At 39.0% G+C, this 22,136-nt stretch overlaps 1 protein-coding gene across 14 annotated transcripts in view; it reads left to right on the top strand.

The window, feature by feature from the left end:
• The window catches only part of ATG10 (autophagy related 10), a 284,111-nt gene extending 278,181 nt beyond the window's left edge, over nucleotides 1-5,930 (top strand). For all 14 annotated transcript variants that reach the window (XM_047417800.1, XM_047417803.1, NM_001131028.2 and 11 more), the window contains 3 exons: nucleotides 2,359-2,456; nucleotides 3,111-3,226; nucleotides 3,865-5,930. In XM_047417800.1, coding sequence (XP_047273756.1) covers nucleotides 2,359-2,456; nucleotides 3,111-3,222 — 210 coding nt within the window. In that variant the 3' untranslated portion in view covers nucleotides 3,223-3,226; nucleotides 3,865-5,930. The remainder of the gene's footprint in view (nucleotides 1-2,358; nucleotides 2,457-3,110; nucleotides 3,227-3,864) is intronic.
• Nucleotides 5,931-22,136: the final 16,206 nt, after the last annotated feature.

Consider the following 22,136-nt stretch of genomic DNA (forward strand, 5'->3'; position numbering starts at 1 on the left):
ATATTTTCTATGCTCATTTCCCCCATAGGGTCATCTGCCCCCACATTCTGTTCCCAAATCTCTGCATGGTTGTTTTTTTCCTTGTCGTTCTGATCTTTGATTAAGTTTCACCTTATTTTAGTCCATTTAGGCTGTCATAACAAAAATACCATAGACTGGGTGGCTCAAGAACCAACACTTATTTCTCCCAGTTCTGAAGGCTACAGGATCCAGGATGAGGGCACTGGAAGATCCAGTGTCTGGTGAGGACCCGTTTCCTATTTCATAGATGCCATCTTCTCACTGTATCCCCACATGATAGGAAAAGAGTGAGAGTTACACCTCTTAGGGTGTAACCCTAAGAGGGATACACACATTCAGTCCATTGTATTACCTCTTCCTTCAGGCCTTCCCTTTCCAAGTCTAATGTCACCACAATCCCTCCAGAATCATGTTACCCTGTTGTGTTTCCTTTGTAGGGCTTATAATTATCTGGATTATCTTATTTATTCGTTCTGTGTGTTTATTGGCTGTCTCCTGCACTGAAATCTAAGTTCCATGGGATCAGGAACATTGTTTATCTAAGAGATGCAGTGGTCTCTATAACTATAGCTAGAAGTATTCTGGCAGACACATAAAAAAGATGATTGATTAATATATGTTGAATTGCTAAATATTAGTTTAAGGCAGGTAAGGGAAACCAGATTCAAGTTGGACAGGAGGACTTGGCATAGGCCCAACACATCAGGGCTTTGAGCCCAGGGCCCAGTTAGGGATGGGAATGAAGGTTGGGAAGAGAGCTGTAGAGAGGAAGCTGATGCCTTGCTGGAAGAATCAGGCGACTGGTCAGAGTCACCTGGAGATGGCACTCAGGGAGAAACAAATGCCAGGTGGTGCTAAAAATGCCAGATACATGCAATAACCTATCACTAGTGGATAACTCATCCCTCACCACCACCACCCCAAATCTCCATACCCAGTGTCACCAATACAAGAGGAATTGTCCCTTCCAGTTCTTGTGAGTGGATATGTGCATAAGCATACAGACATGAATGTTTGGAGCTGAGGGGTAGAGGCAGCAAGGACAGCCACATAATTCATCCCATCAACAGCTCTGAGTTCAGCTTCCCCTTGGGTTGGCTGAGAGAAGAAGCCAAGAGAAGAAACTAGGCATCCCCTAGTCTAAATCCAGCCTACAAGCCTGTTTTACTTGTCCCACTCCATGTTTAAAAATAAATTATGCCAACACTTAAATGTAGGAGGTTTAACATAAACTTCAGCTTTTCTAGGTTAGTTTCACAAATAGGGAGGTCTGGCATGCTGAACCTGCATTCCCACATGGGACAGTTGGCTGGAGCAGAGTAGCCAGCATGGCCTTGGATGGGTGCACTCGGCAGTTTCTCACGGGCCCCGTCATCTGCTGGTGTATTTAGCTGGCATTATCCCCTTAGGTCACCTGCTTTGTCTTCATAGGTATTTGAGTTTGCAGTGTTGGTATAATGGTTAATCCACAATACAAATAATCAATAAATGTATCATCAATAATAGTGTTTTTGTTGGTAGAACTTGTGCACAGATTACCCACTACATAGAAACCTCCTAGGGCTCCCCATTGCTTGCCAAATGATGTCCACGTCCCTAACTTGGGTATGGTCTGACCTATATCTTATATCCAATTACTACCTTATAAAAGAAACAGAGTTACATTTCAGGCTTTTAACTTATAAAAACAGCCCTGTAGGCTTGGGAGAGACAGAAGGAGAGAAATGAGGAAAAAGAAAAACAAAAACTCAGAGACGGAAAGAGAGAGAGAGACAAACAGAAGTAGAACAATTTAAATAGTGCAGGCCATCTCCTCCCATCCCTGGTTCTACTCGTGGAACATGTGCCCACTGGCACTGGATACATGTAGGCTTGAAACAACATGTTGACAAAATTTGTGTAAAGAAATATGCAAATGATTTTGAGTCTCTTACCATTGACAAAGAGGTGAATAAAATGAATTGTTTAGGTTGTCAAACTACTGAGCTTTGTGAACATCCTTGAAGAAAAACTGAAGAATAATGATAGGCCAAAGAGAAACACTGGCCAACAGAGAGGGAACTGATAAAATGCAACTACAGTTTATATTGTGTAAACAAAAATGGGTGCCCTGCTATACTCGACCATACTGCTTTATCAATGAATAGTCCTTTCTCACCAACTTCTTCTGATGTTTGGATTATAAATTGTTTTTAAAAATAGAAAATAAACCTGTATATTAATTCAATAACTTGGAATTTGAGACAAACCTTTATTTTAAAGGAGTAAACCAGATAAATTATTTTAGCCTTTTCAAAGTAACTCACACTGATCCTGGACCAATTCTGATTCTTACAGGAACATCCAATACTTGGGCAACCCTTTTTTGTACTTCATCCCTGCAAGACGAATGAATTCATGACTCCTGTATTAAAGAATTCTCAGAAAATCAATAAGTAAGAAACACCATCAAGATACATTGGCTTCTACTCTGATTTTAAAAGTGTAAATCTTTTTATGTGACTCTAAATGCTAGGCTAAAAAAGAAATATTAATAATAATAATGGCTAACACAATGATTTTTAGGATATGCTAGATGCTGTTCTAAGAGTTTTAGATACAGTAAGACATTGGATTTTTGCAGCATTCCTATGTGCTAAGTACTATTATTTTGCCCAATTTACAGAGGAGGAAGTTACAGAACAGAGGAGTTAAGCCACTCAAACAAGGTCACACAGCTAGTTAAGTGGTGGGATTTGAATCTAAGCATTTTGGCCTCAGAACCATGCTCTTAATCACTGCACTCTGCTACCTTAGTAAGTGCTGTAAACTGTAAGGGTAAAATTTGAATCATCAAGGGAAGTCAGGAGCCAGTACCTTACCTCATTCTTCAACTACCCTAATGAGGGATCCTTACAGGCTCTCTGGACCTTAAATTCTTGTCAAGCAATGGGGCTGGCATTCAGAAATGCTGAGATTCCAGGTGGTAGGTACAAATCTTTGAAGAAAGCCTCACTTTTGTTATTGTTGGTGACCAACTGATGTTCTACCATTCATCCAAAAACTACAATGGAAACGTTAGCATGGCCTGTATTTCACTTGTTTCCTAGGAATGTCAACTATATCACATCATGGCTGAGCATTGTAGGGCCAGTTGTTGGGCTGAATCTACCTCTGAGTTATGCCAAAGCAACGTCTCAGGATGAACGAAATGTCCCTTAACAAGGTAAAAGAAAAGCCTGGATTTAATGTTTTGCCGTTACAAAGATCAATGTCTCCATTGCATTTAGACTCATCCCACCAAATGCAAAATTTGCTTTCATCTTTAGTGGGCAAACCCTGACTTAATTTTTAGTTTTCCAATCAGTCCCCTACCAAGTTATTTAGGACAGGGATCCCCAAATCCCAGGCCATGGACCGGAACCAGGCCTCACAGCAGGAGGTGAGCGGCAGCTGGGTGGGCAAGCAAGCGAGCATTACCACCTGAGCTCTTCCTCCTATCAGATCAGCTGCAGCATTGGATCTGCATAGGAATGTGAACCCTATTGTGAACTGCGCATCTGAGGGACCTAGGTTGCGCGCTCCTTATGAGATTCTAACCAATGCCTGATGATCTGAGGTGGAACAGTTTCATCCTGAAACCATCTCCCATTCGGTCTGTGAAAATGGTTTTCCCTGAAACTGGTGCCTGGTGCCAAAAAGGTTGGGGGCCACCAATTCAGGAAATATTTTACTTTGCTGTAAGTAGCATGCACTCAGTGACAGGAATGGATAGTTTTATTTTAGTACTGATATTCTTAAATAAGTCTTTACTGCTCAGTTATTTTTCTTTTATTCTCTTGGCTTTTGTTTTATGTTCTTCAGATTCTTCTATTGAGTTTAGGAATTGCGGCACGAAGAATGCCAAGAGTTTACCTGGCCAGCCCTGGCTTTAATAGGACTGATACCATGGAATATTTCATCTCACCAAGATGTGACATGGATTATTTTTCCCTTGGACACAAATGTCTACAGCAACTGGTGTTTGATAGGCTGAATGTTTAGAAGAAACACTTCAAAGGGATACATCATGGCCAGGCATGGTGGCTCACACCTGTAATCCAAGCACTTTGGGAGGCCAAGGTGGGAGCATCACTTGATCCTGGGAGTTCGAGACCAGCCTGGGCAACATGGTGAAACCCTGTCGGTACAAAAAAATACAAAAATTTGCCTGTTTATGGTGGTGTGTTCCTGTAGTCCCAGCTCCCCAGGAGGCTGAGGTGGGAGGTTGGCTTTAACCCAGGAGGCAGAGGTTGCAGTGAGCTGAGACTGTGCCACTGCAGTCCAGCCTGGGTGACAGAGCCAGACACTGTCTCGGGGAAAAAAAAAAAAAAAAAAAGACACATCACTATAAATAGCAAAAAAACAAATCTAACTTATTAATACTAGGAATACCAACATTATTAGGGCACTTGCAGGTTATTCTTTTCTAGGCCAAGTACTTCACTTCCATTTGTCTGACATGGAGATTGAGGGAGAAATGTATTTGTGTGTTCATTTTAATGTAAGATATATAAAAATTAAATTACTGGATTTACCTGTCCCTGAAACTGGTGTTATAAACATGACCTATCTTAAGTGATTTTCCCACAATCAAACTCAGGAACAATAGATTATTTCTGTTTTACTCCAAAAGAGAGAGAGAGAGTGAGTGTGAGTGTGTGTGTGTGTGTGTGTGTATGTGTGGGTGTTTGTGTAGATAGTTGTAAAACAAAGAAAAAACACAATATTTTACTGTGAGATAATATGTTTTACCAGCAAAGTGTGGCATAGTAATTAGAAGTTTTCTAAAAAGCTATAGGAGATATTTAAACATTAAAATTTCTTTTTGACCTATAGTAATAAAACAATGGTCATTTTACCCCTCTGCTTCTCAACCCCACAGCTGCTCTGCTGTACTCTTTGAGGGCTCTTGAGCGAGTCTTCATGTCCCTGAGACTTATTTTCCTCATCTTTAATTTGAAACTAACAAGCTACCTCATAGGGTTGCTGTGAGAACCACATGAGATCATTAATGCATGATAAGATATTGTAAAGTATTATACGAATATTCATTAAATGCTCACCTTTCTTGTATATAATTGGTATTCACTAAGGCTGTAAATAAGTTTCATAGCCAGTTAAGTATTAAGATAAACCTAACCTGGAACAATTTTTTTTTTGGTTGCTTGTTTTGTTTTTTGCTTTCATTTGCTAGGAGCTGAAACGAAGATTAAAATGTCATTGGCTTTTTAGAGAGTCTAGATTAGTGTGTCTTTGAATGAGGGATATACTTAAAATCACCTGAGGATCGTTTACAGCTACAGATGCTGGGGCCACCTGACACAGTCTCTCTGGGGGTGATTCTGCTCTGGAGAACCTCTGGTCTGGATATACCTTTATTGTGACATTGATTTGTATTGTTTTGCTCTACTGACAGGCCTTTTCCAATCCATACAAGCTGAACTTGCTTCCTAATGTTTGTCTAGGCCTTACATGGATAGTAAGGAAGCTTAGGAGACATGTACACAAGGCAGCCCACTTGTAGGAAACTGCTTCAGGTGAGGACATCATTCACCAGTGGATCACCGAGCACCGTGACAGCACCCTCAGTCCACGTCTGCAGATTAAGAGCTGAACTCTCACAGAGAAAGTGGAAGTAGAGAAAGGGTTAATTCAAACTGCTAGAAAAGCTAAAAGTAAATTTTAAAATGCTGAGCTGCCCATATTCATGCTAGGATGAGAGCCGGCTTAAATGCTTGCTGGGCATTTTGGTATTTACCACTTAGCATGTTTTCAACTTCTGTGAGGGATTTTCCCCCCAATCTCCCTAATGTAAACACAGATTTCTCAGCAAGTCATTTCTCAAGCCATGTCATTTCTAGTGTAAAATAAATTATAATAATGTGTCATCTGAATGGTGTTCTTGTCTGCAAACATTAGTTATCCTTTGCTAACAGATTCTGAGATGAGAGTCTATCAGTTTGGAGCCAATGTTTAGTTTTTTTTAAAAAAAGTTAAAAATACAACTTTTTCTCTGATCAACAAAGACCTAAAAATTCATCAGTGGCAGAAAAAAGTTCCAAGGAGCTCCTGTAGACTGGGGAGGCCTTTCTTCCCAGATAGATCCATCTCCTCAAGCAGCTTGATTTCTTTCTAGAATTTTTTTCACTTAAAAAACTTCTAATTTTTGGTTGATAACAATTTCCATTTTTATAAATGCAGTTATGCTAACAGAATGTTATCCTGACAGTTATTAAACATTAGAAGATATTTGGTTTTGTTGAAGTAACTGTTCTTTCTCGGCAATATGAGGATTTTTTCTCCCTGCTTCCTCAAATAATGTACAACATCTATCAGAAATAAGGCTGGGTAAAGTCGCTTCCAGCTCACCTCCTAAATTCTGCTTCTGTGTGACCTTGGAAAAATTTCTTCACCTCTGTGGTCCTCAGTTTCTTTATTTGTAAAATAGGGAAATTCAGCTATGTGTCTTTTGCGACAACCGTGAATTTTTAGGTCTGTGAAATAGAAGTCCAGAGATCTAAACTGTGAGGCTGGTTAACTGCTAGCTGTGTGACTTGGGCCAATTTTCTTATTTCCTTCTTAAACTATTTCTGAAAAATAAAGCCCACAGTATCTATGCTGCTTACCTGACAAGGGCATAGAGAAGATCAAAATGATACATAAAACTGAATGTGCTTTAACCAAGGCAGTGAGACATGGAGTGAGGGGTGACAGTGGATAATGACCTGCTCCTTCAGCGACACTAGCATCCCTACTCCTCTCCACCTCATTGTATGTCTGAGCCCTCCCCAGTGCCAAGCGCTCTCTGATCTGGGGAGTCTTTTCCTTCACACCCTTAGCTGACTGTTGCTTATGCTGGTGCCCACCTGGAAGTGCTTCCTTCCCCACAGGTCTACCCAATTCCCACCCTGGTGTTGGTGATTCACTGTCACAAAGCCACCTCTGACCACCACAGACCCCAATCAGTGCTCCCTTCATTACTCACCATCCTTAGTCACTATGAGCTTTTAGCTGCCTCTCTTCCGCTCTAATTTCTCCCCAACTTGATAAGTATTAATTAAGTCATTTCAGGTGTTGGCCACTGTCCTTGATTTGCTGTGTTGCAGCATACACAGAAGAATGTCTGTGTGTGCCACCTAAGTAGAAAGGCTCTTGGGTTGGGAATTTGAGAGGTGGGAAAACTCTTTGAGGGACCAGTGGAGGGAGCAGTGAGGGGAGCAGAGGCTGTGTTGCTCAGCAGGTACTAGCCTACGAGCTAGAGGTTAAAAAAACAAAATTCCCCTTCCCCCCAACAAAGGCTTATTAAAATCAAGAGAAAAAAGGCCAGAACTGGGTTTTTGCATGTATTTCTCCTATGATAGGTATAGTGGTTTTTATTCATACTCCCAAAATATTAGGAAATAGAGCTCTGCAATGTCAAAATCAGCTCTTACATAATCCAGAGATATTCCAGTGAGGTTTTTTTAGGGTTAAAATTTAAGAATGAGAATATGAAAATATTCACTTAAGCAGATTTCCTCTTACATACTGAATCCTAGGCCAGGTGCCACAGATAGCAAATGGGGAGACATAAGAATGCCATAGTCCAGTGGAGAGGACACACAAGAGGAAGCTTCAGGAACAGTAGGCTGCATGCTGTGGGCAAGCACATGCCAAGGAAGGCTTTGCAGAAGAGGAATGTGAGTGGAGTCTCGAAAACCTTATGACTTAGCCAGGTCAAGAGTGAAGGAAGAATCTTGAAGGTGCTTGTAGGGAAGTGGTGAAGAATCAAGCTGGCTAGAGCAGGACTGGGGCCAGCTCGGGAAGAGTCTTTACTGTCACACTGAGAATTTGTATTTGGCCCGAAAACCACAGCCACTGCTGGGATTCAAATAGAAAAGTTAAAGTGATCACATTTGCGTTTAAGAAAGAACCTGTATTTTTAAATGGCTGCTGCATATAACTAATCATCCATACACTTTGTCAGGTTTCGTTTTGTTTTGTTTTTACTGCAGTGTCTTAGCCACAGGATTTAGAAGGTTGAGGAGCACAGCAGGGGCTGAGATTGTGCCAAAGACACTTCAGTTTTTACCTAGGGTCTTCCAAAACAAAACCTGCCAGTGTCCTGAAAAGCCTTGAATTCTGACTACTGAGTTACCTGGGGCAAGTCACTGCACCTCTCTGGGCCTCTGTTTTCTGATATATTAACATAAGAAAGTGTATTTGATTGAGTAAAATCAATTTATTGTTTTGTAACAAGCTTTTTTTTTTTTTTTTTTTGAAATAAGGTCTTACTCTGTTGCCTAGGCTGGAGTGCAATGGCTTGATCTTGACTCACTCCAGCCTGACCTCCTGGGCTCAAGGGATCCTCTCATTGCAGTCTCCTGAGTAGCTAGGACTACAGGCGCATGCCACCACGCCTGGTTAATTTTGCTTATTTTTTGTAGAGATGAGGTCTCACTATGTTGCCCAGACTGTACTTGAACCCCTAGGCTCAAGAGATCCTCCTATCTCAGCCTCCCAAAGTACTGGGATTACACAGGTGTGAGCCGCTATGCCCAGCCAGTTTTTTTTTTTTTTTAATGAAATAGAATACATAAAAAAGAAAATATCAAAGTGCACTACACATAGTAAGGGCATTATTGTTTTGTGAAACTTTGGTTTCAACTATATGTTTTATATATATATTTATATATATATATATACACACACATATTTTATATATATACACACACATATATTTTATATATATATGAAATCTGTGTGTGTGTGTGTCCACACACGCACACATGCACGTGTGCACTGGGTTGTAACATAGACTGTATTTCTAGTGCCAGAAAATAGAAATCTGAAAACTGATGGACAAATAAGCTTCCTTCCTATTCTAAGACTTGATTCTCCTTATGCTGCTGACCAGTAAGTTGCTGAAGGCTATTCTATTAATAGAAGGGTATAGGAAGTACTTAACAATTATTGTTTCTGCGGCACTTCATGTGCACAAAGGTGTTTGAAGCTACTCCTCTGGATTTTTACAGGGCTTCTCTATGGAAGCATTTTCACATTTTTATTCCTAAATCTGGTAGTTCTTTACAGTAATCCTGTGATCTCAAGCCCTTGCTTTAACTTTTGTATTGTTAGTAGTGACATCTAGTGGTTCTGTTGCAAGTATCTTGCATTCTAGACCATTGGAGCTGAAAGTGATTTTAGTGACCACCAGGTCTCATTTTGTAAATTATTAAAAATAAACTGAAAACTCACATGTATTCCTACATTCAAATCAACTCTATATAATAATAAATAAAACCTATAGCTGTGTAATGCTTTCTTGGATTACTTTGAAGCTTTTCAAATACCCAGAAGTCACTGTTGGTTATAACCATGAGGCAGAAATTTAACAAAGCATGCCCTGATAAATTAAAAGGAAATCATAGTTCAGTATAGCTACAGCCTTTGGTGCATTGTTATTTACAGGTACATGCCAGAACCTCAGGCTTTCGCATGGTGCCTGGTGTTTGGTAGCACTCACTAAATCTTTGTTGAATGTTTGAATATGTGGGTGATCACGAAGCCCTGGAGAAGAATCACAGAAGATGTGGGACTTGAAGGACAGAGAATTTGATAAGAGGCTAGAAAGCTAAGCTTTTAAGTTAGGGGCCATGGAAGGCCAAAAAGGGAACCATGAGTAGGACCCAACAGGGCACCTTTCAAGGTTTTAACAGAGAAAGTTGACTATGTGTAGTTGTTGGAGGACTCATTTGGAAGTGGTAAATTGGATGGATTAGAAGGAAGAGAAACTGGATAGAGGCCAAGAAGCTAATGTAGTGGTGAAGTGATGAATTTCTAAGTTAGGAAGGTGACAGAGTAAAGAGAAAGAAATCAGTGTCAGAGACATTTTGAGAACCAGAACTTGATGTGAAGAGAATGAGAAGACACTTGTTATGACTTGGTTATGGCTTACATTCTATACTGGGAGTCCCTGTCCAGGCCTGGACCGTCTTCCTTGGTCTCTGTTCTGCAGGTATCAGGGATTGAACTTGCTTTCTTCTTTCAAGAAGTGCCACCCACCCTATCCTGTGAGCAGATTTCTTTCTCCCGACCAGCAGCAGAGTGAGATGTAGTCTCCTCGTGCTGTCCTTCAGTAGCTTCAAAGAAACAGTCCCCAGGCCCTTTCCTGCTTATCCATAGGGAAATGGCTAAGTAAAATGTTGTACTATGTAGCAGTTAAGGGGAATGAATTCAATCTCCATGTATCAAAATGGGCACATCTCAAGAAACATTACTGAGTTAAAACAGAAAACAAATAGTAGATGTTAACTATGAGCTGTGTTTGAAAGTGTCCCCCCAAAAAGCATGTATGTGTTGGAAAGCTAATCACTGTTCTAACAGTTATTAAGAGGTGGGACATTTAAGAGATGATTAGGCCATGAGGACTCTGCCTTTCTGAATGAAATAATGCCATTGTTGCAGGAGTGGTTCCTTTCAAAAGGATGGGTTTGGCACCCTCTTGCTTACTCTCTCTCACCCATGTGATGCCTTCTACCATGTTATGAAGCAGTAAAAAAGGCCTCACCAGATGCAACCCCTCGATCTTGGACTTCCCAGCCTCTAGAGCTGTGAGCCAATAAAGTTCTGTTCATTTTAAATTACCCAGTCTGTAGTGTTCCATTATAGCAGCACAAAATAGACTAAGAAGTCACTATGCATGCAGCTTGATACTGTTTATATTTTAAAATGCACTAATACCATGTATTTTCTATAGGTACATATACTGCAAGTGTATGAAAAATATAAAAAGTGATCTAGAAGGAAGGACACCAAACTTGTAAAAAAGGTGATCCAAGACTTCTTTGATCACTCTTTGCAGGTATAGAGTGGGAACTTGGTTTGGAAGTAATCAAAGAAGACTTTGGCTCTTTTTGTAATGCTAGACTTAATCTATCCATAGAATGTAAAACTAGAAATTCCTTTTTAAAAAAAGATTTGAGTCCTCATAGATAATTTGGGAAACACAGAAGAATTTGAAGGAGAATATTTAAAAATCACTGAAGTGTATATCATCTAGAATAACTGCTTTTAAATTTTTTATGTATTTCCTTGTGCTAGTTTAAACATATTTAATTAGGAGCATCCTGTATATGGTTTTACATCCTGCTTTTTTCCACTTAACAATATATCTGGAACATTTTCTCATGTCATTTAATGTTCTTTGAAAATACTATTTTAAATGACTAGCTAGGATTTCTTCTATTCCAAAATGTACCAAATAATTATCCTATTGTTTGAGTTTTGGTCTTTTCTAATTCCTCACTGTTTATTTAACATACATTCATTTCAGCACTTTTTCGTGTCAGGAACTGTTCTAGGAATATAGTGGTCAGTAGGGCAGACAAAGCCCCTACCCTCAAAGAGCTTTCAGAATGTAATGCAATGAGCCAGGCGCAGTGGCTCTCCTGTAATCCCAGCACTTTGGGAGGCCGAGGTGGGCAGATCACCTGAGGTCAGGAGTTCGAGAACAGCCTGGCCAACATGGCAAAACCCTGTCTCTACTAAAAATACAAAAAAAATTAGACGGGCATGGTGGCGTGTGCCTGTAGTCCCAGCTACTCGGGAGGCTGAGGCAGGAGAATTGCTTGAACCTGGGAGGCGGAGGTTGCAGTGAGCCGAGATCGTGCCACTGCACTCCAGCTTGGAGGACAGAGCAAGACTCTGTCTCAGAAAAAAAAAAAAAAAAAAAAATGTAATGCAATGAGAAATGTAGGCAGAAACCTGTGCTCACATTTTGTTTCTTTAGGTTACGCTGTTAATGGAATTAATGGATCAAAGGATATAGGATCATGTCACTAAATTGTTCCCCAGTAAGGATATAGCAATTTACATTCCCAGCAGCAGTCTGTGTTTTATCATTTTCTTAAATCTTTGAAAATTATTTTACTTTGCTTTAATCACTGAATTAAACATTTTTCTCTTGTCTTGCTAAGATTTCGTGGATCCTCAGCTTCATTTCTTCTTAATATGTTATATTTTTCTTAGCATGTTAAATTTCATTTTCTCACCTTCTTCTTGTGACTTCATTGCCCCTACATGTCCATTGTGCTCCTATAAGAGCAGATTGTCCATGTTCTGGTTCAGTTTAACCAGAGAATATGCAGTTAAACAATTGGAATATGTATGTAATTTTAAAAAAATATTATGGAAAATTTCAAATATATGCAAAAATAGTACAATTAACCTTCACATACCTATAAATTGGAATCAACAATTACCAAGATTTTGCCATATTTGTTTCACTTAACCCTTTTTTTCTTACTGTGCTCAAATACTTTTAAGCAGTAACAGACTTTATGTCATTTGTTTTTACAGGTGCATACTGAACATTTTTATTTGATTTATTCCTTCCATTCTTAGATGTTAAAAACATCTTTGGGTTTTTGTCCTCTGCTTTTATGCCTGAGGGTGAGGCTTTGTGCCCTCTTTCTAATTTTTACAAATAGCATGGGAACTTTTCCCTAAAATGACCATAATTAGGGCAGCCATGAAATAAAAGCAGAATGTAAAATGTGCATTTTGCAGGTTCTGCAGACTGGATCATCTACAGAACTGGACAACATTGGGAACACTCATAAACCATGTCAAACCACAGTCCACTTCTCTCAGTTGTTCTCAACTGTGATTAAAATGGAAAATTATGTAATATGTGACTAAATCCTCATTGTTGTACAGGTTGAAATAGTAGCTGGCTTCTTGTGTTAGGAACTCATATACACAAATATACACACATAATTGGAAAATTCTGCATATAGTTTCAGGCGTTCCTAGTCCCTCTAAAATCCACCTATGGGCCAAACCCTATCCATCTATGGGAATCCTGGCAAATAAATTCCACTCACAATGGCTTTCTTTCATTACACACACACACACACACACACACACACACGCAGGAGGAAGATGAGTATGTTGATAAGGAGAAAAGTATTTAATTATAAACATATAAGAAAATGTGTAAAATACAGAACAAACAAAATCAACTATTGTATACTATAATTAAGATCCTGGAGAAATACTTGGAACCTATTAGGAACTTGTGGGGGAAAAGTTGTCATACTACCTGCAAACACACACGAACAGAGTACCTAAAGTTGTCAAACTGTATAGAAAAAAGAATCTTATTATAAGCTGGATAAATTCATAAAGCTATTGGAGAAAAAAGATATGACAAAATCTATTTAATACCAGTTTCCAAAGCAAGAAATGAACAAGACACGTTTTAAAAAGTAACAGTTCTCTCTACTGTTCTCAGCTGTGATTGAAATGAAAAATTATTTAAAGCATGTCTTACTTTGCCCATTATTGTACAGATTTAAACATTAGCTGGTTGCTGAAAGAGGTAAGTAAGCATTATAATACATCTGTTAGCATATACACTTTGAAATTTGGGTTTGCTCTGTATGTCCTACACTTTTAGCACAGCCAAGCAATGTAGCCCCTTGTTCTATTTATTTTTTTCTTTTTCTTTCTTTCTTTTTTTTTTTTTTTTTTTTGGAGAGGGAGTCTCACTCTGTTACCCAGGCTGGAGTGCAGTGGTGCGATCTCGGCTGACCACACCCTCTGCCTCCTGGGTTCAAGTGATTCTCCCACCTGAGCCTCCCAGGTAGCTGGGACTACAGGTGTGCGCCACCACGCCCAGCTAATTTTTTGTATTTTTAGTAGAGACAGGGTTTTGCCATGTTGGCCAGGCTGGTCTCAAACTCCTGACCTCAGGTGATCCGCCCGCCTCAGCCTCCGAAAGTGCTGGGATTACAAGCGTGAGCCACTGTGCCCGGATTTCTATTTCTAATTAACTATAATAAAAGAGTTTTAGGCCAGGCACGGTGGCTCACACCTGTAATCCCAGCACTTTGGGAGGCCAAGGCAGGTGGATCATGAGGTCAGGAGATCGAGACCAGCCTGGCCAACACAGTGAAACCCCATCTCTACTAAAAATACAAAAAATTAGCCGAGTGTGGTGGCGGGCGCCTGTAGTCCCAGCTACTGGGGAGGCTGAGGCAGGAGAATGGTGTGAACCCAGGAGGTGGAGCTTTCAGTGAGCTGAGATCGCGCCACTGCACTCCAGCCTGGGTGACACAGTGAGACTCCGTCTCAAAAAAAAAGTTTTAGAAGGCTAGATTTAAAAATTTCTCCCACACTGTGACTAGATTAGAGAACAGAATTCATGCCAACAATAACTTATTACCACAAATAAGCAGAGTAAAAGGAGCTGGTACTTCTGTGGCTAGATCTGACTAGTGACCTGGGGACTTTGATTTCCTCCTTACCCTCCTTACCATCAGAATTGCTGTTTGCAAGCTTCAGGTCAGCTGGAAAGCAGAGTGCATTAAGGAAGGAATTTGTGATGGTGCTCATCGCACACATCTGAGAGCTGTGTGTGAGTGGCTCCCTTGTTTTTGAAGATACACATCATATATTAGAGGCTTAAGTGACCATCTGAATGAGGTGGCGACTGGGCATGTGCATATTTGAAAATATTAGTTATTTGTCACTCATGGTTCCCTTCAAATGTGTCACTCTAAAAAACTATTTTCTTCTATGAGACAATTTATGCTTTAAAACATTTAATTGTTAAATGTTTTAATGGTTTGCTCTACACCTTCTGTGGTGACATTAGTGTGACAATAAGCTATAAAAATCCACTTCTCTTCCTCCGGTACTAACAAACATAATATCACTTTACCAAACAATAAGGACAAGATTTGTGTTAGAAACGAAGACTGCTCAGTATAACCAGCAAAGACAGTCCCCCAACTACAGTAGCATGAGAATGTGAGTTAATGCTTAAATAATCCACTGACATAGATTTTATAGGTTAAAATAAAGATTACATAAGTTACTGTTAGTGAACATTTTATTGTAATATGGTAATTTATTATCGTAGTCTCTTTTCTTGGCTTTATGCAAAGCCAATAAAGAAAAACGCTAGCTACTTTGACAACCTTCCAACAGATTCCAGGAATATTATCCACAGCGTGACCATTATGACCAATCCTACAACTAGACATTTTCCTGGAATGAAATACAGGAATCCAATACACATACAGATACACATTCGAATTTTTATAGCTGTCATATTAGAACTGTGTCTCTCAGTGCTATCAAAAAATAACATGAAAAGGCCCACATTTATCTGAGGTGTTGTGTGTTTAGACCTTCAAAATTTTTTTTCAGAACATCAGTAACTGGAGTGTTTCAATATTTTCATACAAACACACAGAAAATTTACTCCCCTTCGCAAAACAGAAAACAAAAACTCTTACTAAATACCCGGATAAATTTGTGCCTGAGTTTACTAAGTAGCTACCTGTAAGGCAGTGTTTATCGTTTTGCGATGGGGTGTTTCTGACAGGAACAATTCCATTTGGAGAATAGACTATTGTTTTGACTTGAGCTGTGCCAATTACTTGGGCAAATTTATTTATAAAATACTTAACAGCTGCCTTATTTGGGCTTCCAACTTCTAAGATGAGAGCAGTAATAACCACAAATGGAGAAAACAGGGGGTAGCTACATAAGAACTACCTGACAGATTTCTCATGGATACCCTCAAGATGGTTTCCCAGGGGAATTCTGATGTCACTGGGTTTGGGAACCACAGAACTAAGTGATCTCCTGATTCTTTTTGCTATAACAATTTCTGATTGGTTTGGGCTTTGCTAGGCAAATAAAGAGAATACAGATTAAATAACAGACTAAATTAACTTACCCATTTGTAAATTTTATATATACATATATATAAATACATTACTTTTTATTTATAAATAATTTAAGGCACACAAGAAGTTGCAACAATAGAATAGTTTGTGTATACCCTTCATCCAGCTTTCCCAAATGATAGTATCTTTCATAACCAGAGTATATTTTCAAAAGTAGGAAATTGACATTAGTCCAAAACTATTAACTACAGAATTTACTCACTGACCAATTTTTACATGTTTTTATTGTGTGTATAGTACTATGAAATTCCACTGCAAGTATTGATTTCCATAAATATCACCAAGATAAAGACACAGAAGTGTTTCATTCCCACAAAGAAACTCCCTCGTACGATCCTTCCTTTTATTGTCAGACTCTGCCCCCATTCTGAATCCCTAGTGATCACTGGTCACTTCTCCATTGCTATAATTTTGTCATTTCAAGAGTGTTATATAAATGAATCCATACCAGATACAACTTTTTGAGATAGGCTTCTGGTATCCAGCATACTGCCCTAGAAATTCATAGAAGTTGTTTTATGTAACAATCTGGCTGAATAGTGTATCATTTATGGATATACCACAGTGTATATATTGGCCCATTGAAGGGTATTTAGGTTGTTTCTATTTCTTGGCTGTCCAAATAAAGTTGCCATGAATATTTATGTACAGGTTTTTGTGTGGACACTTATTTTCATTGCTGTATTTCAGTCCTGTACCCGGGACTACAATTTCTGGCTCATGTTGTTAAGTATCACTTTTTCAGAGTGACTGTACTATTTTTCCACCAACAATGCATGAGAGATGCAGTTGCCCTCCTTTCTCACCAGTACTTGGTATTCTCAGCATCTTTAGCCAGGTTATAGTGATAACTTGTTGTGGTTTTAATTTGCATTTGCCTGATGGCTAATGATTTGATCATCTTTTCATGTGCTTATTTGCCATCTCTTTTGTGAAGAGACGTATATTTGCCCATTTTGTAATGGGATTGTGTTTTCTCACTTTTTGTTTAGAGAATTCTGTTTTAGATGTAAGTCCTTTATTGGATAAGTGTTTTGCAAATATTTTCTCCCAATCTGTGGTTTGTCTTGTCATCCTATTAACAGGATTTTTTATTTTTTTATTTTTTTTATTTTTTAAGACAGGGTCTCACTGTGTTGCTCAAGCTGAATTGCAGTGGCACAATCAGAGGTCACTGCAGCCTCAAACCCTTGGGCTCAAGCGATCCTCTGACCCTCTCAAGTACCTGGGACTAGAGGTGCACACCACCATGCCAGGCGAATTTAAATTTTTTTTGTAGAGATAGTGTAGCAGGATGAGCCGCAGACAAAACCTCCCAGACACCGAGTTGTAGAAGGAAGGGCTTTATTCAGCTGGGAGCATCGGCAAGCTACTGCCTTAAAATCTGAGCTCCTCGAGTGCACAATTTCTGTTCCTTTTAAGGGCTCACAACACTAAAGATTTCATATGAAAGGGTCGTGATTGATTGAGCAATCTAGGGGCTACGTGACCGGGGTTTCATGCACTGGTAGTCAGAGTGAAACAGAACAGGGAGTTTCACAATGTTCTTTTATACAATGCCTGGAATCTATGGATAACATTGGGTTCGAAGTCATGAGTTGATTTTTAACTACTAGGTTTAGGCCAGGAAGGCCCAGGGCTGATTTTAGGCCTGGTGCCGGGCTGCCTGTCTTTGATTTCACTTCCTTGTTTTTTCTCTTATAACAAATACTGAGTATAAAACAATATAAAACAGTATGAGAGGGTCTCTCTCTTCCCTCATTTCCCCCCTTTGAGACTCTCACTTTTTATTAGTGGGAGTTCTCACTCTTATTTTTGCTACTTATGTCTTTTCGTGCAATAGATTGATAGTGATTTTTATAGTACACTTGTGCTGAAGCATTTTGGTGAACTAAGGTAGTGATGAAGCTTTTTATCATTTGAAGAAGTACAGGTAGCAAACAAGGGAGCAGTAAGTAGGTTTCTATTACTATTGTAACTCCTATTGTAAGAGTTTTAAATCCTCTTAGTGCTGGGAACTACCTTCTAAACATGGCTTTAGGGTTGAATCTGTGCTACACTTGTATGGACATATGTGCCAGTTTTGTCATATTTCTAACTATGCCTTTTAACTACTTGCCTTTGATTATCTATGTGTAGACAGTAATTAGTAAGGTTAAATTTCTTATAGACCATTATTTCAGCTGCTAGCAAGTAGTCAAGAGCTAATTTATTTTGATAGATAGCATTTCTTATCTGAGTTTTTTGCTGGGCCAGAATAGTCAAGGCTTGACCAGTTTTATTAGTGATGATTTTTAAAACAGCTTGCAACCGTATGATTTGGTTGAGCATGTAAATGGGGGTCCAGTATCCCCATGATCTGTCTTGTGTCTAAGTGGCAGGCCTATAGTATTGTATAATTTTTTTTAGGGGGCCATTTATCATCTTTTTAATTACCTATGGCTATGCTTCGTTTTCCACGGGAAGCACAGACAGGGAAGCCTAGGAGTTCTCCTGTTTTTATGGGCAGTAGGAAGAAAGATGGTTTAATGGTGCCAATTACACAACTACCTGTCCACTGATTAGGCAGCTTAGCATGGGCTCTATGTCTACATATCCAGTATTACCTGGTGGGGGCAGTCCAGTCCCGGTGGAATTCTGGGTAGGCCTAGACAGTCTGCAACCTTGGAAATTTACTGAACGGATCTCTTTCTGTGTGGTTTGAACTCCACCGTGTAACTGTTTTTGTGGTACTATTATACAGTTTTTGTCCTAGGCAACTAAGTCATCCTACAGAATGAGTGAATTTTTTCCTTTTTCTAGCTATGCAATATTGTCCAATAATTAAGACTTTTAGAACCTAGAAATGATCAGGGTGATTCTTTTGGGCTGGGAATTCATCAGGAACTGGGTCTGTAGGCACTAATTCTTGGGCTTTTTATGGCCATTGATCTCTCATTACAGTTTTTCTACAAAAATAACATGAAGTGACATCTAGAGACTGGGCTACCTGCTCGGCTAATTGCAAAAACAAATTTTTAGTTTTTCCTGGAATCCCAGGTACTGGCACATTTAGTTCATCATAGAAAATCTGAAAGACTGGTTCTGAAGAGCGTTCTTGAACCTCTCCTTTTATTAGGATGCTTACACTAGGATCTAGTCCTTTTCCATCAATGCCTAATGTTACATATTTTCCTTTATTCCACTTTGGGTCTGAGGGGTTTGTAATTATCAATTCTAAAAGGTTGCAGCTCCCACTCGTGCAGGAGGGGCTGACTTTTCCTTTTTGGAGCTAAACAGGATCTTTCTTATCTTCTTTCTAAGTAGCCTAAATGACACAAGACCAGTATTGACATATCTCACATAAATATGATTCTTGACAGATGTACTTATTTTATGCTGTGTAACTTTTTTCCTAATCTAGAGAACTGCATCCTATCCTATGCTGTTTACTATTAATAGCGGCACAGGCATCAAATTTTAAGGTTACATTTTTGGGGACCTTTCTTTCTTCTGTTCTAGCTATTATTTTACTTGTGTCCCTTAGAGAACGACCAGTTCTTAGTCTTACTTCAAAGACTGTGATCATGGGAAGTTCAAAGGGGTCATAGCACACATTGGGCTGGTCACTTCCTGGATTACATACTTTGTACTGGGTGTTATTATACAAATAGGTTCCTTTTGGAGTTCCTAGGCATTCATAATAACTATAAAATAATAGGACTGTAGCAATCTTTTGTCCTACCTCAGTGACTTGATGTAAATACTGGGAACAGCCTTCAGTCTGAGAAAGGTCAGTTGAAGTCCTTACTGTACAACTCTAAATTTTAAGGAAAATGAGTCCCGCGATGCATTTCCTCATGCTTCGGCCGTGTGTGGACCAGTCAGCTTCCGGGTGTGACTGGGGCAGGGCTTGTCGTCTTCTTCAGAGTCACTTTGCAGGGGTTGGCGAAGCTGCTTCCATCCACGTACAGCTCCCAGTCTACTGATGTTTAAGGGTGGTCTTGGAGGTTGGGCCTACTAGAATAAACTAAGTCCAACACCTCTACACAGTTTATGTTTAACTGGGCTCTCTGATACCAGGAGTAAGATGGCAGGGTTAGGGTGTTGCAAACTTCAATCGTTATGTGGGGATTTTCACAGAGCAAGCTTTGGTATCTAGTTAGTCTAGCATTCATTAGCTAATGGTGTCCTTTGGTATTTATTAAAATCACCACAGCATGGGGGGACTTTAGGTTTTGTCTAAGAGTTAGCTTATCTGCTTCTTGTGCTAACAGGGCCGTTGCTACCAGGGCCCTTGGACATGGGGGCCAGCCTTTGGAAACCCTGTCTAGTTGTTTTGAGAGATAGGCCACTGGCTTTGGCCAGGGCCCCAAAGTCTGGGTTAAAACTCCAACTGCCATTTTTTTTTTCTTTCTGACACATAGAGTGTAAAGAGTTTTGTCAGGTCAGGTAGCCTCAGGGCTGGGACCGACATGAGTTTTTCTTTTTAACTCATGAAAAGCTCATTGCTGTTGGTTGTAATAGATGTAGTTTATCTAATCTACATTTTTATTGACTGTCATCTACTAAAATATTGACTTGAATCCTCTATTTGATTTCAAGCTTTAAATTGATCTGGTATTCCTTGCGGGGCTCTAATTGCATCTAAATAGATGTGAGAGTTGAAAGACCTATAAGGGGCTTCTCTCGCTTTATGATGTCTTATTTTTTGTTTTTCCTCTGGTTGATGAAATGCCAGGGTGAAAGGGATAGCCAAATGGACTAAAGCACAAGTGCCACTCTAGTTATTAGGCAGAGTGCCTAGTAAAGGTCCACCACAATACTACCATACATCTGCTAGGGGACGAACAAGGGCTGACTGATTGATAAGCTCTTGAAAATTCTTAAGCTCACTGCATCCCTTCAGGTCTCTAAGGAATGCTAAGTCTCTTCCTTGCTGTGACAGACACGAAGTGAACTTAGTGTTGGGAGATGGAAGCTGGATGGCCCTCAGGGGCTGACCCGCAGGGACTTCGGGATATAGCAGAGAGAGCTTGGCATGACTTTTTACTCCAGGCTATAGAGTCCCGGAAAAGAGCTACCATGCAGCCTATGCCTGGTCGACTAGAGGACCACCTTAGTGGAAGGGGGACAATCAGGGCCTCTGGCCTGCCATGTGCACAAGCATAACAATTGCTTTTGTTTAACGTGCAGATGGAATATTTGATCTATTTCAACCAGGCATTTGCATCTTGGTATGCTGTCTTAATTGCCAAAGTTTGTTTTAAGTCTTTAGCTTCTATGATCCTTTAGTAAAATGAATGTTTCCTGTAGCACCTATTTTTATTAGTTTTTAGACCAAAGAAAGCTAAACACCATTTTATATTTAATAATGCTTCTTGTATGATTTTTATACCACATAAGTTAAATTTTACCTTTATATTAGTGTTAATGTTAAACTTAATTTTAATAAAACCTTGTAGACATATTTATCCAATTTTTTATGTTTGACCATGTAAGATTTTATAGACTCTTTTTAACTTTTTATAATTTTTGTTAAAGAACAGGTTGATCCTTTAAGAAAAACCTGTTGCATTTTTAATGTCTAGTTCACAGAAAAACTGGATGACACCTTTTTAACTTTAGCTAATATGTTTACACACAGAATTTTCTTTACAATTAATGTTTTAAAACTTGCTTAAACTTTTAAAACAATTTTTTTAACTTTTTAATGTAGGTAAAAATCCACATTTTTATGCCCTTTTATAATCTTTTTTACCAAAGGTATATTTTACTTTTCTTATACACCTTGCACATAAACTGTTTTTTTAAAATAGTACTCAGGAGGCCTTATTACTTTTAAATTATACAACTTTTTTGCATAAATACTTTTTATAACTTTTTCTTTCACGACTTTTGCAGACAATTTTTCAACATGTCTTAACTTTCTGACTTATTACATTTTTTTTTTAAACAACCAGTTAATTTATTTCAGGACAAGAATTTACCATGTAACACTCTTTTTACATAAATTCTGCCTCTCCCCGTTTTTTTCCTTTTTTTTTTTTCTTTTTGAAGATAACCATTCCTTTTTTTTTTTTTTAAAGCGAACTTTCTTTATGTCTTTGAACTAGATTGTCTAAGGCCACAAGATTAGAAGTTACCATAATACATGTTACACTGTTAACTTTTAGCAAACTTCACTTTTGTTGAAAACCTTGTCAGTTTGGGATTTCAATTATCCTTTGCTATTAATAAGACTTTGTTTAGTCTAAATTAACTTAGAATTGGTATAGATGGTCTCTTTTTCTCTCTGCTGGTCTTTCCTTGCCTCTGCCAGCTGCTTATGCTGCTGTTCTCTTAACTACTGTGGTGGGGAAGGGGGTCTAA

This window comes from Homo sapiens, chromosome 5, assembly GCF_000001405.40.
Source record: "Homo sapiens chromosome 5, GRCh38.p14 Primary Assembly".
NCBI classification, from domain to species: Eukaryota; Metazoa; Chordata; class Mammalia; order Primates; family Hominidae; genus Homo; species Homo sapiens.